Raw genomic sequence first — 17,811 nt, 5'->3', positions numbered from 1 at the left:
ACCTTTTGGTCTTAGGACCTAACCCTAATGCTTTCCTTTGTTGCCATGTTTTATTCCTGCTGTTACATGGTGGAGGGTGTGGGAGGCTTGGGTGGAAAGCTATAGCAGCCTGGGGGGATGGTGGTAGTGGTGGTTTCCAGGGCACAGGCTCTATGCGCTCTGTCATCGGAGCTGGACACAGAGGGTGGGACTGCTGCCCAGGACACACACCTGGGCTGACCACTTGTGCTGTGGTGCTCCTTGTTTAACCTGCCTCTTATCTTTGAGCCATTTGGCTTTTGAATCCTTCACTATGCTTAAGCCAACAAGTTGGCAAGTGATATCTGTCTCCTAATCAGCTCTACCTCCTCCACCCACTAACTAGCAAATGTTGGGTCAGGGGTAACAAAGTAAAAAGAGGTTTAGCTCTCCAGAGGCGTTTGCCCATGTACAAGTATGTTCTGGTAGAGGTTGGGCAGGTTTAGGCACTAACGGGTGCCAAAAGGCTCCTGGGCAGGAAGAACTGGAAAACAAACTTGTTCTTTCTCCCTTCCTCTCCCTCCTCCTCTAGCTTGCCTCAACAACAGCCAGATATGAGAAAGAAGAGACGGACAATTTATTCCACATCACTCAAGCTCAATCAAGGCAGGGAGAAAGCAGAGGAGTGCAAAATCCTCCCTTTCTCATTCCTTGCAATGATGAGGACCAACCTATTCAAGGGCTGGGGGAGGATGAGGAGATGGGGTCAGATGAATGGACAGAACTTGGTGCCAGGAGTTCAGAAAAGATTACACATGTGTATCCTTCTGCTCAGGATCCAGGACTCCCTCCTGGGTGATGGGGGTGTCTGTGATCGTCTGTGCCCTTGGAGATTCTTCTACTGAGCCGAAACTGCTGCTGCAGGACACGGCACCACTGGGGTGGCTCAGAATCAGACTCCAGAAACTTTTATGGTTGAAGTAGCAAAGGATCGCTGGGAAAGGACAGGGACAGGGGAGAGGAAAGTTGTGACTGGGAGGTTAAGTGACAAGTAGGGTGAGACCAAAGGGAAGATAAGACCCTAAAAATCTAGCCCTGGGGATTGCCAGCCTCTTCCCTCCACACTTTCCCTGCCCTACCCTACCCATGTCGCTTCCTTCCCCCAGGGCCCTCTGGCCACTCACCGCAGGTGAAGTATAGGATAAGCACCAGCCAACCAATGAAATAGCTCCAGCCTATGGGGATGGATACATTCCTTTCCAACTCGAAGATCCAGATGTTAATGGGGAATAGCATGAGGGTGGAGAAGATGAAGGTGACTAGGAGACAGGAGGCAGAGGGTCTCATTGTCATACAAGAGTCCCACAGGAGGTTCTTCCTCATCTGCTAGGCTACAGCCACAAACCACATCACCACACACAGAGTGACTGGCCCTGAGGTTCCAGGAGTCAACCCCTGCATTTCTACCTCTCCTGTGACCAAGAAATGATGTAACTCGATTCTCGGTTCTGTTCTCCCACCACCCACAAAACCCTCATACCACCCCCAAAGAAGAGGGAGAAGTGCCCAGGAAGATGGGGGTTAGGAAAACAAAGGACCTTTCCAGAGCTAGGAGGCACCTTCACAGAAGCTCAAGATGGTCCCGAAGCCCACAAAGGGCAATTTTTGAACAGCGGGCAGGTAGGGCAGGTGCAACCAGATGGTGAGGACGAGGCCCAGCCCCAGGGTCAGGTTGAAGCTTAACTTAGCCACCTTAAACATGGGCTGATTGTCCACAGCTTAAAACTGCCTGGGGAAAATGACAAACAAACAAGATCAACTAAGGATTTACAAAAGATGAAACATAATCAAATGAGCAAATACAAGAAAATGTACCGCCAGGCGCGGTGACTCACGCCTGTAATCCTAGCACGTTGGGAGGCCGAGGCAGGTGGATCACAAGGTCAGGAGTTCAAGACCAGCCTGGCCAACATAGCGAAACCCCGTCTCTACTAAAAATACAAAAATTAGCTGGGCATGGTGGTGCATGCCTGTAGTCTCAGCTACTCCGGAGGCTGAGGCAGGAGAATCGCTTGAACCTGGGAAGCGGAGGTTGTGGTGAGCCACTGCACTCCAGCCTGGGCAACAGAGCGAGACGCCGCCTGCAAAAAACAAAAAACAAAAAAGACAGAAAGAAAATGTACAGACCCATTAATAATCAGAGAAATGCACATTTGAAATAAAAATGAAATATTGCTTTCACTTCTTAAACAATCCGAGATCCTTGATATGGATATTGTTTGATAACCTCAACCACATGCAAATGAATACCTCAACAGAAAAAATGTACAGAGGACTTAAACTGCAATTCTCCAAAGAAGGAGTACAAATGTCTGATAAACATATAAAGCTCAACACAAAGAATTGCTAATTAAATGTGATTTGTGAAAAACCATCGAGGCTGAGCATGGTGGCTCGCACCTGTAATCCCACCACTTTGGGAAGCTGAGGTGGGAGGATCTCTTGAGCCTGAGGGTTTGAGAGCAGCCTGGACAACATAGGGAGGCCCTGTCTCTTTAAAAATATACAATTGGTGTCGGGTGCAGTGGCTCACCCCTGTAATCCTAGCACTTTGGGAGGCCGAGGTGGGCAGGTCACTTGAGATCAGGAGTTCGAGACCAGCCTGGGCAACATGGTGAAACCCCATCGCTACTAAAAATATAAAAATTAGCTGGGCATGGTGGCATGCGCCTGTAATCCCAGCTGCTGGGAAGCTGAGACAAGAGAATCGCTTGATCCCAGGAAGCTGAGGTTGCAGTCTATATATATATAGACACACACACACACACACACACACACACACACACTTGGCTGGGTGCGGTGGCTCACACCTGTAATCCCAGCACTTTGGGAGGCCGAGGTGGGCAGATCACGAGGTCAGGAGATCGAGACCATCCTGACCAACATGGTGAAACCCCATCTCTACATACATATATATAAACTGTCAAATTAGCAAAGATCAAAATAAGATTGATAACACCTAGTATAGGAGAGTATGTAGAGAAAAGAGGTCCTCTCATACGCTCCTGGTGGGCAGCATTTGTGGTGAATGATCTGGTACAAAAGATCCAGAAAATCTACATTCTTTGACCCTACAATGCTTCTTCTTGGAATTTATGTTAAGGAATAATCAGAGATCTGCAGCAAAATCTCAGTACAGGAATCTTCTTTGCAGAGATATTAATATGTCGGCTGGGTGTGCTGGCTCACGCCTATAATCCCAGTACTTTGAGAGGCTGAGGTGGGCGGATCACTTGAGGTCAGGAGTTTGAAACCAGCCTGGCCAACATGGTAAAAACCCCGTCTCTACTAAAAATACAAAAATTAGCCAGGTGTAGTGGCACCTGTCTGTAGTCTCAGCTACTGGGGAAACTGAGGTGGAAGGATCACTTGAGCCCAGGAAGCAGGGGTTGCACTGAGCCGAGATCATGCCACTGCACACCAACCTGGGCAACAGAGCAAGACTCCATCTCAAAAAAAAAAAAAAATGTCCAATAAGCTCCTTGATTTAGAAGAGATTTGTAAAATAAATTATACTATCCCCATACATTGTGTTATTGTGTGTTCATTTAAAATGGTGATAGGTGATAGACTGGGCACAATGGCTCACACCGGTAATCCCAACACTTTGGGAGGTGGAGGCAGGAGAATCACTTGAGCCCAGGAGTTGGAGACCAGCCTGGGCAACAGAGGGAGACCCTGGTCTCTACAAATTAAAAAAAAAAAAGTAGCCAGGCATGGTGGCATCTGTGGTGCCAGCTACTTGGGAGCTTCAAGGTGGGAGGATCACTTGGGCCCAGCAGTTTGAGGCTGCAGTGCAATAAACTACAATCACACCACTGCAGTCCATCCTGGGTGACGGAGTGAGACACTGTCTCAAAATAAAAATAAAAATAGATGCTTGTCTCTGAATAGAGTGTCTCTGGAAAGAAACAGGAGAAACTAGGGAGGGAGACTGGATACTAAGAGATAACAGACTCACTTCAGTATACAATCTTTTGTATTCTTTGAATTTTCACTGTTTATACACACCTAATCCTAATTAAATAAATTTTAAAAATCAGTGATGTTTGGCCGGATGCGGTGGCTCACGCCTGTAATCCGTGAGCCGAGGCACTTTGGGAGGCCGAGGCAGGCGGATCATCTGAGGTCAGGAGTTCAAAACCAGCCTGGCCAACATGGTGAAACTCCGTCTCTACTAAAAATACAAAAATTAGCTGGGCATGGTGGTGGGCGCCTGTAATCCCATCTACTTGGGAGGCTGAGGCAGGATAATCGCTTGAAACCGGGAGGCAGAGGTTGCAGTGACCTGAGACCGCAACTGCATTCCAGCCTGGGCAACAAAGCAAGACTCTGTCTCAAATAAATAAATAAATAAAAATAAAAAGCCTGGCTGTCTTTGAGTAACTCCGTAGAGCAAGGCGCCTATGTGAGTTTTAGAGCCAGGCACACCTGAGTTGCAATTCCAACCCTGCCATTATTAGGTTGATCCATGTGAAATTCTCCTTTTGTAGGTGAAAAGCAGTCAAATATTAGCATGTCATTTGGTTCAATCTAAATAGCTTTATGACCCTGAGCAAGGTACTTAATCTCTCTGAGTCCCAATTTTCTCATCTCTAAAATAGGGATAATTATCCCTATCCCTTAGGATTGACTAAGGACTAAATTGAACAAATGGAGTAAGTGTACAATAAAGGATAGCTTTTGTTTCCCCAAATTTATTATAATAAGGACATAATATTTTCATAATGCTTTCATAATTCATTATATGAATATTTTCATATTCATATGATAAGGACATAATACTTTCAGAAAATAATAGCTGTGTGATTTTTTTCATGCTAAGGAGAGTGAAAAAATGGAAATAAGGGTCAAAAGCTCTGGTTTTCCCCAGGAGCAGGGAAAGAACTCCAAATTCCTGAGGGGTGAGGGAACAGCATAACCAGAGACTAACAACAATAAGAACCAGGTGTGGTGGCCACGGCCTGTAGTCTGAGCTTCTCCGGAAGTTAAAGCAGGAGGATCCCTTGAGCCTGGAAGTTCGAGGCTGCAGTGAGCTATGATTGCACCACTGTACTCCAGCCTGGGTGACAGAGTGAGACCTTGTCTCTAAAAAAATCAGCGAAACAAACAGAAAAAAACAAGGATGAGGAATGAAGCAGCTGCAAGAATTCAGGGAAAGAAGGAACACAGAAGCCAGATGTGGAAAAAGGAAAATGATCCAGAAAAGCAAGGCCTGAGGCAGAAGGAAAGGAGAATGTGTGGGATCAGGGCCTGAGAGGGGACATTGCAAGGAGTCCTCTCAAAGCTCTGGGTACACAAGACTAAGGAAACCCCCATCTCACTGGGGCTCTTGTCCCTGGTAAATTAGGCGATTAATGAATGATTCTCTTGTGCTGAGTCCATGCCCCTCGTAACTTTTTTTTTTTTTTGAGACAGAGTTTTACTCTTGTTGCCCAGGCTGGAGTGCAATGGTGCGGTCTCGGCTCACCGCAACCTCCACCTCCCGGGTTCAAGCAATTCTCCTGCCTCAGTCTCCAGAGTAGCTGGGATTACGGGCATGTGCCACCACGCCTGGCTAATTTTTTGTATTTTTAGTAGAGACGGGGTTTCACTATGTTAGCCAGGATGGTCTCGATCTCCCAACCTTAGGTGATCTGCCTGCTTTGGCCTCCCAAAGTGCTGGGATTACAGGTGTGAGACGCAGTGCCCAGCCTGATTTTTTTTTTTTTTTTTTTGAGACAGGAGTCTCACTAAATTGCCCAGGCTGGACTCAAATTCTTGGGCCCAAGCAATCCTCCCACCTCAGCCTCCTGGATAGCTGAGACTACAGGTGTGCAGCACCATGCCCAACTCTCTCACAGCATTCTTAGAAGCACAGATTTGGCTCTGGGTTTTATCAAAAGCAGTGACATTTTCCATTGCACCAATCAAATCTATTTAGCCAGGCTACAGGATGAGAAACGATCATCGGAGGTCTCAGTGCCAGTGGAACCATCTTGCAGGCCAAAAAGTAAAGATGACCAGAAAGAGGGAACAAGAATACATCCAGGGTGCAGATACAGAGGCCAAGACAGGCTGGCGGCCTGGGCTGGGATGGGGGGTGGAGGGGCTCACCTTTCCCATTCTCTAAGTCAGAACAGCTCCTGGATTTGTAAAAGTGCAGGAGCCCCATGGACATAACGTGGGCTGATGTGTGGATTCTGTTGCTGACATCCACGGGCCAGCGCTGGTAGAAGAGGCTCCTAGAGAGGTCCAGCCATTTCTTGGAGAAGGCCACGACCAATAGTAGGATAAAGGCAACCAGGCTGAGCTCAGAGGCCAACACCTGGGCCATCCAGCGGAAGCTGTGTGTGATTCTCCATTGAAAGGGCAGCGGAGAGTTCTGGCGCTGGCCCAAGGACCTGTTACTACTGAGGGAGAGGGTGGAGGACAGCAGTCTCCCATCTTGTCCCAGCTCACCTGTGCCCCATCCTGCCTCCCCACTCTTCCTTTCCTTTCCAGGTCTCTGATGTTGGTCTCTTTCTCCTTCTGACCTGGGGAACTCATTCCCAGAGTACTCTGCATCCATCTTGAGCACCACTTCACCCTCTGTCTCCCCTTTCCCTCACCAGACTCAATTGTCTCTTCTCATCTTTTGGATATTTTCATCAGCTGCCACCATGCAGCCTGAGGTCTGAGAAAGAATGAGGAAGTCTAATAACAGACCTCGATCAAATAAGAGACTCTTGATCCAAGAGAAGGCCCCAACCCATTCAGCAGGCCAGGTCCCCTAACTGCCACGGAATTTTCCTGGGGCACAGTGAGATGGGGGAGGGAAGCCAAGTCTTCAGCAATTTTTTTTTTTTTTTTTTTTTTTTTTAGAGAGAGAGACAGGGTCTCCCTCTATTGCCCAGGCTGGGATGCAGTGGCACAACCTTGGCTCACTGCAACCTTGAACTCCTGGGTTCAAGTGATCCTCCCACCTCAGCCTCCTGAGTAGCTGGGATTACAGGATTGTGCCAGCATGCCTGGCTAATTTTTCAATTGTTTGTAGAGATGGGGTCTTGATATGTTACCCAGCCTGGTCTCAAACTCCTGGCCTCTGCCAGGCACGGTGGCTCACGCCTGTAATCACTGCACTTTGGGAGGCCGAGGTGGGTGGATCACCTGAGGTCGGGAGTTCGAGACCATCTTGACCAACATGGAGAAACCCCATCTCTACTAAAAATACAAAATTAGCTGGGCGTGGTAGCACATGCCTGTAGTCCCAGCTACTCAGGAGGCTGAGGCAGGAGAATTGCTTGAACCTGGGAGGCGGAGGTTGCGGTGAGCCGAGATCGCACCATTGCACTCCAGCCTGGGCAACAAGAGTGAAACTCAGCCTCAAAAAAAAAAAAAAAAAACTCCTGGCCTCATGAGATCCTCCCCACTTGGCCTCCCAAAGCACTGGGATTACAGGTGTGAGCCACCTTGCCTGGCCTGTGGCTCCAGCTCTAACTCTTTCCGGAAATCCTGTTTCTCAGGCCACAGCTCAGAACTGTGGATCTGACACCTCCCTCCAGCTTCTGCCTCCCTTTACATATGAGCAATGGTATGTGAGAGGCCCTCCTGTGGTCTGCATATGGTTAATTTGTCTTCACCAAACCTCATGCTGAAATTTGCTCCCCAGTGTGGTGGTGATGGGAGGTGAGAGGGCCTAGTGGGTGGTGTTTGGGTCATGGGGGCAGATGCCTTGTGATTGGATTAACGCCTTCCCTGAGACCTCACTCCATTAGCTCCCCGCAATAGCTGGTTGTTAAAAAGAACCTGGCGCTGTTACCAAGCAAAAGTGCTCGCTGCCAGATGTGCATAGAAGCCAATACTCCAATACTAGGGCACTAGGTTTTGAGAAAAGGAAAGCTTTATTGTGAGCTGACCCACGAGGATACGGGAATCCAGCTCAAATCTGTCTCTCTTTGCTGGTCTTAAGGCAGTACTTTTATTAGAAAAGGTTTAGGGGGAGGATTCTGGGATTAGCGGGTGATTGGTGGAAAGAAAGGAGAAGTCTAGAAAGTCCTTAATCATGTCTGGTTATCTCCAAGGTTCTTCGTGGGTTGCATGTGCAAATTTGGTGGCGTTAGTATGAAACAGCAGGTGGAAATTCAGGCTGTGACATCAGCAAGCTCGTTCTGTGCGGATTGCTGTCAGCCATACGGGTTCCCACTGATTTCAGCCAGTCCTGTTATAAGCAAAGGGATTTTTCAGCATTTCAGCAAGCTGTTTCTTAGCTGCCATCCTGTAAACTCGAAAATGTCTGTTAATCACTGGTTTATTTAACTGTTTGGGGCACAGTTTCAGCTCCTCCCTTACCTTGTGATCTCTGCACAAGCCAGCTCCCCCTTGCCTCCACCATAAGTGAAAGCAGCCTGACGTCCTCAACAGATGCCCAATCTTGAGCTTTCTGGCCATCAGAATTGTGAGCCAAATAGCCCTTTTTTCTTTATAAATTATTCACCCTCAGGTATTCTGTTATAGCAACACAAAATGGACTAGGACAGTCCCCTTTTCTCTTCCTAGTTCCTCTGCCCTAACCCCAACCCCAAATGCTCACTGATGGAGCAGGGGGAGGGAGCAGGAGCTTATCCCCAGGAAAAGATCCTCCCTCCATTGTTCTTTGGACATGTCTTGCAAAGATGTCATCGAGCTTCCCATTGCTTTCCCCAACCCTTCACCTCCCTCCCAGCTCTACTCACTGCTAGTCAATCACCACCAGTTCCTTCCCTCTTCTTTTGACTTTTCTTTTTCCTTTCTTTTTTTTCTCAGCACCAGAAAGAGGAGGATGTAGGATGAGAATGGGTCCTAGAGGTGTCATGCCTTCTGAGATTGTTATAATTTTATTTATTTATGTATTTATTTATTGAGACAGTCTTCCTTCATCACTCAGGCCAGAAGGAGTCTCTGTCTAAAAAAAAAGAACATAGGCTTTGGGGTCCAACAGGCAAAGGTATGAAAAATGGGTCTTCCCCGCCTTTTTTTTTTTTTTTTTTTGAGATGGGATTTCACTCTTGTTGCCCAGGCTAGAGTGCAATGGCGCCATCTTGGTCAGCTAACTGCAACTTCCGCCTCCTGGGTTCAAGCAATTCTCCTGCCTCAGCCTCCCAAGTAGCTGGGATTACAGGAATGAGCCACCACGCCCAGCTAATGTTTTGTATTTTGTAGAGACAGGATTTCACCATGTCAGTCAGGCCGGTCTCAAACTCCTGACCTCAGGTGATCCACCTGTCTCAGCCTCCCAAAGTCTTGGGATTACAGGTGTGTGCCACCACATGCAGCCGGGTCTTCCTCTTAATAGCCCTGTGAACCTGGATGTCATATAGCTTCCTTATGCCTCAGTTTACTCATCTGTAACACAGGAACAATATTTTTCTCATAGACTTGGTAAGAGTGCTGAATGAGATAATGATCAAAAAGCACTCACTAGTTCATAGTAAATTCCCAGCAACTGGTAATTATGTTGTTAAATTATCATTTTAATTGTTTTTACAGTCTTTCACTAGCAAACAGGGAAAGAGCAAAAATGCAGAAGATAATTCCTGGCAAGCATCCTTGCCAGTCAGTGGCATCTGCAAATCATGGAACAGATTAACTCTCCAAATTAACTCTCCTTGTAAGCAAAAGGAGAGTGAACTATGAATCCTGATGTCACCTGTGCAGTGGGACCTCAGGAATGGTTGAAAGTTGAAATTCAAAGCCTGTGAGGGCGCTTCTTCTGGCTGTGGTCTCTGCCCCTCCCTGGGCGTCTTCCTCTGTCTCTGCAGACCAGCCTCTTCCTCTGCTCTGGTCCACATGGTGGGAAACATGGCCCTCACACTCCAAGCTGTGTATCAGACCCCTCCAGCTGCTGGAGGGGAGACCTCTCAGTCCCAAGTCCAAGCATTCTCTGGCCCTGCCAGGGACGAGTGTCATCCTTAGAACAAGCAGCTACAGTTGGGGCACTGGGTCAGAAGACAGAATCTTTTTTTTTTTTTTTTTTGAGACAGGGTCTCACTCTGTCGTCCAGGCTGGAGTGCAGTGGTGCAAGCTCCGCCTCCCGGGTTCATGCCATTCTCCTGCCTCAGCCTCCCGAGTAGCTGGGACTACAGGTGCCCACCACCACGCCTGGCTAATTTTTTGTATTTTTAGTAGAGATGGGGTTTCACCGTGTTAGCTAGGATGGTCTCGATCTCCTGACCTCGTGATCTGCCCGCCTCGGCCTCCCAAAGTGCTGGGATTACAGGCATGAGCCACCACACCCAGCCAGAAGACAGAATCTTGAAGATGGGAGAAGGAGGGGAGAACACTGGGAGAGGGGGTGGTGGGCCTGCTGGGAATGTCATTTACACAGAGCCAGTGTCGTCAGGATTGGGCTTCCTCCCTCGAATCCTCTTTAGTTTTTAAGTTTTTCCTGGAGTTTCTTTTTTTTTTTTTTTTTTTTTGAGACGGAGTCTCACTCTGTCCCCCAGGCTGGAGTGCAGTGGTGTGATCTCAGCTCACTGCAACCTGTGCCCCCACCGGTTCAAGCAATTGTCCTGCCTCAGCCTCCCAAGTAGCTGGGATTACAGGTGCCCGCCACCACGCCCAGCTAATTTTTTGTATTTTTAGTAGAGACGGGCTTTCACCACGTTGGCCAGGTGGGTCTCAAACTCCTGACCTCGTGATTCACCCGCCTCGGCCTCCCAAAGTGCTGGGATTACAGGCATCAGCCACTGCACCCAGCTTTTTCCTGGAGTTTCTAAGGGTTTTTAATAATAAGCATTTCTCACAGCAACACACAACACAGAAGAATCTTGGAAATAGAATGTTTCCTGAAAAATGTAACCCCCAGAAGACTACACAGTACATATGATGCCATTTTTATAGAGCCTATAACCAAGCTCAACAACCAATGCATTGTTTAAGCTTATGTAAGCTTATGATTGCATGGTAGTTTTTAAAAAGCAGTGGCACAGTAAACATGAAATATCATATGATGGTTACTTCTCAAGAAGGCATAGGAGTGAGATGAGGAATGTTACACGAGCACATATGCATTATTAATAAGAGTCTAGTTCCTGAGTTGGGTGATAGGTGCAGGCATATTCTTTTTTTTTTTTTTTTTTTTTTTTTTTTTTTGAGACAAATCTCGCTCTGTCACCTAGGCTGGAGTGCAGTGACACTATCATAGCTGAACTCCTGAGCTCAAGCAATCCTCCCACTTCAGCCTCCCAAGTAGCTGGGACTACAGGTGTGGTGGTGCACCTGGGCTCAAGCGATCTTCCTGCCTTGGCCTGGGATTACAGCTCGTGCTGGGATTACACGCACAAGCCACTGTGCCTGGCCAGGTATTTATTATATTATAATCATTTACAGCTAACATAGATTTCATAATATCTTGTGAATGTATCAAACATTGTCTTTCAGAAGGTAATTACAAATAGTTCAAGAAAGGAAATGTAATCTAAGTGATTACTAGCTCTGCAACAAAAGATATTTATATAGTCACAATGTATAAGGTAAACACTGTTCATTGCCTTTCAACTCTTAGAATCAACAGATGGACAAAGCAAGGAAGACTTAATTATAGCCACAAAAGTAAATGTAACTGTCATTGGCCTTGATGTTGCACAAGCAAAAGCCTAGAAGACGGAGACTGAAAGGTGGAAGGAGGAGAAGAGAGCTGAAGGGAAGCCATCCACTAGTAACACAGGGAGAATTGACAAATTTCCTAGCTTCCTTGCTCCTAGGTTGGGATATCTCTAACACATGTCCTACATCAGGAGCTGACAAACTTTTTCTGTAAAAAAAAAAATCCAGATAATAGGCCGGGCACAGTGGCTCACGCCTGTAATCAGCACTTTGGGAGGCCGAGGTGGGTAGATCACGAAGTCAAGAGTTCAAGACCAGCCTGGACAACATGGTGAAACCCTGTCTCTACTAAAAATACAAAAAAAACAAAAAACAAAAAAAAAAACAGCCAGGCGTGGTGACTCATGCCTGTAATCCCAGCTACTCAGGAGACTGAGGCGGGAGAATTGCTTGAACCCGGGAGGCGGAGGTTGCAAATGAGCAGAGATCGCGTCACTGCACTCCAGCCTGGGAGTCAGAGTAAGACTCTCTCAAAAACAAAAAAAAGTTAAAAATAAATAAGTAAATACTTTAGGCTTTGCAAGCCATACAGTCTCTATCACAACTATTCCACTTGGCTATTATACTGTGAAATCAGCCACAGACCATATATAATTGAATAGGAGCAGCTGTTCTGATAAAACTATTTTATGGCCCAGGCCACAGTTTGTTCAACCCTGCTCTATGCTGTCACCCAGAGTTCCCCAGTGGGATCAATCTCTAGTTGCTCATAGTAGAAACTGGTTTTGTACCCCACCTTACTGACTTTCTTCCCTTCCCTATCTCAGTTTCTTACACCTTTACTATTGTATCATGGGGTTACCTCCCTGTTAACTACCTGTTCTCAAATCGTTGTCTCAGGGTGTGCTTCTGGGAGAACCCAAATGAACACAGGTAAGAACTGTTATTATCAGTGTTTTGTTTTGTTTTGTTTTGTTTTGTTTTGTTTTGTTTTGTGAGTCGGAATCTCACTCTGTCGCCCAGGCTGGAGTGCAGTGGCGCAATCTTGGCTCACTGCAAGCTCCGCCTCCCGGGTTCACGCCATTCTCCTGCCTCAGCCTCCCGAGTAGCTGGGACTACACGTGCCCGCCACCATGCCCGGCTAATTTTTTGTATTTTTAGTAGAGATAGGGTTTCACCGTGTTAGCCAGGATGGTCTCGATCTCCTGACCTCGTGATCCGCCCACCTCGGCCTCCCAAAGTGCTGGGATTACAGGCGTGAGCCACCGCGCCCGGCCTATTACAGTGTTTTTCAGCAGAAAAAACTGAGGCACAAAGGCTAAGTCATTTGCTCTAAGTCACAGAGCCAGCATTTGAACTGTCCAGTCTCACGCCGGATATATTCAAAGCATCCTGGAAAATCTGCAGAGCAGGGTAGGCGGACAGTGGTCAGAGGAGTGGGGATCGCCCCCAGCATGAGAAGAATGCTCCAGAGTAGTTGAGAGGACAGAGACAGACATGCACTTGCTCCTTGCAGCACCATCAGGGAAGCCGCCAACACCAGGGAATGATGATTACAGAGCATCTAGACATACTGGAACTTGGGCAGCTTCCCAAAATAGTCTCATGGCCCAAACATGACTTGGAAGCAGCAGAGAGCCACCAGATCTAAAGAGACCTCATGGCCAGGCATGGTGGCTGACACCTGTAATCCCAGCACTTTGGGAGGCTGAGGCAGATGGATTGCTTGAGGCAGGAGTTCGAGACCACCCTGACCAACATAGCAAAACCCTATCTCTACTAAAAATACAAAAATCAGCTGAGCATAATGGCACACACCTGTAATCCCAGCTTCTTGAGAGACTGAGGCAGGAGGATTGCTTGAACCCAAGAGGCAGAGGTTGCAGTGAGCCAAGATCGCACCACTGCCCTCCAGCCTGGGTAACAGAACAAGACTTTGTCCAAAAAAAAAAAAAAAAAAAAAAAAAAAAGGCCTAGTCTGGAGACAGCCCTGGTCCAACTGCAGAAGTTGAACAAGCCAAAGATTCACTTTCCCAACTACTGATCTAATTACATGACCTAGGATCAACCAAACAGACACAATGTCCCCGGACTTAAACTTGGGAGCCAGTGACACAAAGCAGGGACAGAGAAGAGTCTATTTTACAGTGGTGACAGCAGCAGGGGCAGGAGTGGCACTGTCAGCAGTACAAGCAGCAGCATCTGTTGTGAGCATTCCTGTCACTGTGGGCTTTGTTGTCATGCTGACCAGGACACCCAGTGGCGGGGGGGTGAAGGTCGTGTGAATCTACGGTGCATGCTTGACAGACCAGTTCTGCGGAGTGTTTTTGGTGGTAGCTTGGACTGTGTTACCTCCCACACTCCTGCCTGTTTTATAGGCTCGATTCTCCAGCTTTTCTGGAGACTCGGTGACTATCCAATATCCTGTCCGCAAACACCATTTTCTACAAACATCACCAAAGTTGTATTCTGCTGCTTATAACCATAATCCTGACTGATCCATTTTTCCTTTTGGGAAGTGCTCCTCCATCCTTAGCTTAATAATATGTATTAGGAGGAAGCATTTATTTCCTATTCATATTTCCAGGTAGATAGAAGAAAACCCCTAACTTCTCTCCCTACTTCTTCTTCTTTCCTCCTGCAAAGAAGATGGAGCACCTTATCTGACTGGTGAATGTAGCAGTCAGGATAGGCAAGGTTATGCTGTGGTAACAAGCAACTGCAAAATCTCAGTTGCTTAAAACAGCAAATATTTCTTCGTTGCTCAAGCTCCATGTCACTGTTTGTTGTCTTGGGGCTCCTCTCCATGTCGTCCTCATTCCAGAACATAGGATAATGAAGCAGGTACCACCTGGACCACTAACTGTTGCCATATCAAGTGGAAAAAGAGTTTGTGCAGCCAATCAACCACAGGCTCTTAAAGCTCCCAGCTGGAGGTGACACGCGTCACAACTAATGACATGTAACTGGCTAAAGCAAGTAACATACCTGCACTTCACTCTAAGAGGGAGCCCACCATGTTCCCAGAAGAAGAAATGCAGCTATTTCATTAATGGGACAAATAATTAACATAGTGGGTTTGGGATGAAGGGACATGTGGTGGTTCAGCTTCATCTGGGTTCTCTTTTGGCAACCTGCTCACCTGGAACGGGCATGTGTTCCTGCCTGTTCTTGGTCACACAGTAAAAGCTCCCCAGGACTAGGCAATCAAGGGTGAATTTTTTTTTTTTTTTTTTTTGAGACGGAGTTTCACTCTGTTGCCCAGTTTGGAGTGCAATGGGGTGATCTCGGCTCACCACAACCTCCGCCTCCCGGGTTCAAGTGATTCTCCTGCCTCAGCCTCCTGAGTAGCTGGGATTACAGGCATGCGCCACCACGTCCGGCTAATTTTGTATTTTTAGTAGAGATGGGGTTTCTCCATGTTGGTCAGGCTGGTCTCGAACTCCCGACCTCAGGTGATCCACCCGCCTCGGCCTCCCAAAGTGCTGGGATTACAGGCAGGAGCCACAGCACCCAGCAAGGGTGAATTATTAAAAAGCCAATTTGACCAGAGAAAATAAAGCCACATTTACAAACATCTTTACCAGTAATAATGGTACTATTTTGATCTACATATGCTTGTCTCCTATTGGTTGATGCCTGAAAACTCATCACTGTGGTTCCAGTGGGGGCTGCAAAGTGGTGAACACGTGACCCAAACTCAAAATGATTGACCCACGGCCGGGCGCGCAGTGGCTCACACCTGTAATCTCAGCACTTTAGGAGGCCAAGGCGGGCGGATCACCTGAGGTCAGGAGTTCGAGACCAGCCTGACCAACATGGTGAAACCCCATCTCTAGGCCAGGTGCGGTGGCTCATGCCTGTAATCCTAGCACTTTGGGAGGCTGAGGCGGGCGGATCACGAGGTCAGGAGATCGAGACCATCCTGGCCAACACGGTGAAACCCCGTCTCTATTAAAAATACAAAAAATTAGCCAAGCGTGGTGGCAGGCGCCTGTAGTCCCAGCTACTCGGGAGGCTGAGGCAGGAGAATGGCATGAACCCGGGAGGCGGAGCTTGCAGTGATCCGAGATCGTGCCACTGCACTCCAGCCTGGGTGACAGAGCAAGACTCCGTCTCAAAAAAAAAAAAAAAAAAAAAGAAACCCCATCTCTACTAAAAATACAAAAATTAGCCAGGCATGGTGACGCACGCCTGTCCTCCCAGCTACTTGGGAGGATGAGGCAGGAGAATCACTTGAACCCAAGAGGCAGAGGTTGCAGTGAGCTGAGATTTCACCACTGCACTCCAGCCTGGGCAACAGAATGAGATCCATCTCAAAAAAAAAAAAAAAATGGTTGACCCAAGCTAGATCCTTCCAGAGTTCTGCCCTGGGACTTTGTAATTGAAGTCAAGTGCAAAGTCGGTGGTGAAACTATGAGGCTGAACTATGAGTCTATGAGAAATTCCTTTCATTCTGGGGGAATCCCACTCCTCTGCCCACTGACCCCCGCCCCTACCCTGCTGATTCTCAAAGTATTATTTCAGAATCTACATGCAAATAATACTTTGAATATTACATTCAAAGTATTAGAGTCACTTAACTAATACTTTGTGATACCCACATATATGTATGTGTGAATGTATCTGTGTGTATGTGTACGTACATATATAATGATATGTAGATGCGTATATATACACACATATAAATGTTATCCATGAATCATATATAAGTACTACTACACTAACAGCTTTAAACATCTACAATAATATATTTTATAAAGGGCATAATGAGTAGAAATATGGTACCGGGCGTGGTGACTAATGCCTGTAATCCCAGCACTTTGGGAGGCTGAGGTGAGCAGATCACTTGAGGTCAGGAGTTTAAGACCAACCCAAACAATATGGTGAAACCCCGTCTCTTCTAAAAATACAAAAATTAGCCAGGAGTGATGGCACACACCTATAATCCCAGCTACTCAGGAGGCTGAGGCAGGAGAATCACTTGAACCCAGGAGGTGAAGGTTGCAGTGAGCTGAGATCGTGCCACTGCACGCCAGCCTGGGCAACAGAGCAAGACGCCGTCTCAAAATAAAAAGATTAAAAATATGAAATCTTTTTAAATATTTATTTATCGTCCCCATGGATCATCATATATATGCTGCTTCCAGAACACTTTGAATATATCCAGAACTCTCGAGTGAGACTGTCAGATGCAAATGCTGTCTCTGCCAATTGCTAGCTCTGTGAACCTGAAATACTTGACCTCTTTGTGCCTCAGTTTCTTCTGAGAGAATGAAACCAACATGCAACGTTCTGTATTTTCATTCTGGTATTCTTTTATTTATTTTTTCCTTAGAATTGTCCATGTCAATCTGTCGTGATTTTACTCTCACAAAGACAAATCAAAAATCATTAAAACAGCTTTTCTTTCAGCAGCATAATGATGGTATTTAGTATTTCACAAAATGAAGCACTGTAATTCCAGCTTGCTTTTCACTCTGACATTCTAAATGCCCAATCTAGTCTTTTTTTTTTTTTTTTTTTTTTTTGAGACAGCGTTTCACTCTTGTTGCCCAGGCTGGAGTGCAGTGGTGCCATGTTGCCTCACTGCAAACTCCGCCTCCCGGGTTCAAGCGATTCTCCTGCCTCAGCCTCCCAAGGAGCTGGGATTGCAGGCATGTGCCACCACACCAAACTAATTTTTGTATTTTTAGTAGAGACGGGATTTCACCATACTGGTCAGGCTGGTCTCGAACTCCTGACCTCAAGTGATCCACCCGCCTCGGCCTCCCAAAGTGCTGGGATTACAGGCGTGAGCCACCGCGCCCGGCCTGGTCTCGTCTTAAATAAAATGGCAAGCCATGATGAGGACCAAATTGAAGCAACTTTGGCGAAGTTACCTATTGTAACAAGCAGGCCGACTTGAGGTGGACCTGCCCACCTCAGATTTGCATCCTACCATTTGGGAATTCATTGCGTGATCCACAGAGTCTGAACAGGAAGGCACACAGGAGAGGAAGAGCTGCCAGTGAGATAAATGGCCTCTCTGGAATAGCTAAGAGTACAATTGTATTGTGGATTATCTGAATCAGTTAGGACTCTGTAGCTAATAAAAGAAAGGAGATTCAAACTGGTTTAAGGGATAAAGGGAATTTAATGACCTATAGAACTGAAAAATCCAGGCTGGTCTCAGTGGCTCGTGCCTGTAATCCCAGCACTTTGTAAGGCCCAGGCGGGCAGATCGCCTGAGGTCAGGAGTTTGAGACC

At 47.0% G+C, this 17,811-nt stretch overlaps 1 protein-coding gene, 1 long non-coding RNA gene and 1 other non-coding gene across 4 annotated transcripts; all 3 read right to left on the bottom strand.

Moving 5' to 3' along the window:
- Positions 1–573: 573 nt before the first annotated feature.
- On the bottom strand, positions 574–6,780 carry ODF4 (outer dense fiber of sperm tails 4). Of its 2 annotated transcripts, none has more exons than NM_153007.5 (3): positions 6,115–6,780; positions 1,143–1,277; positions 574–952 (listed from the first exon to the last, which is right to left on the bottom strand). In NM_153007.5, the coding sequence occupies exons 1-3, from the start codon at positions 6,566–6,568 to the stop codon at positions 768–770; spliced, it is 774 nt and encodes a 257-aa protein (NP_694552.2). In that variant the 5' UTR covers positions 6,569–6,780; the 3' UTR covers positions 574–767. The 2 variants fall into 2 exon arrangements, with proteins under 2 accessions (NP_694552.2, NP_001306882.1); NM_001319953.2 differs by having other exon boundaries at positions 6,460–6,780.
- Positions 6,781–7,861: 1,081 nt separating this feature from the next.
- On the bottom strand, positions 7,862–8,563 carry LOC124903916 (uncharacterized). Its single transcript, XR_007065607.1, has 2 exons — positions 8,329–8,563; positions 7,862–8,197 (listed from the first exon to the last, which is right to left on the bottom strand). It is a non-coding gene; the product is annotated as an uncharacterized LOC124903916 (long non-coding RNA).
- An 8,337-nt stretch (positions 8,564–16,900) lies between these two features.
- LOC124900396 (small nucleolar RNA SNORA69) lies at positions 16,901–17,037 on the bottom strand. The gene has a single exon (XR_007065989.1). It is a non-coding gene; the product is annotated as a small nucleolar RNA SNORA69 (small nucleolar RNA).
- Between the last annotated feature and the right edge of the window lie 774 nt (positions 17,038–17,811).

The sequence above is a fragment of the Homo sapiens genome, chromosome 17 (genome assembly GCF_000001405.40).
Source record: "Homo sapiens chromosome 17, GRCh38.p14 Primary Assembly".
NCBI lineage: Eukaryota > Metazoa > Chordata > Mammalia > Primates > Hominidae > Homo > Homo sapiens.
The sequence above is the reverse complement of the archived record's forward strand: the minus strand, read 5'-3'. Positions and strand labels throughout refer to the sequence as shown.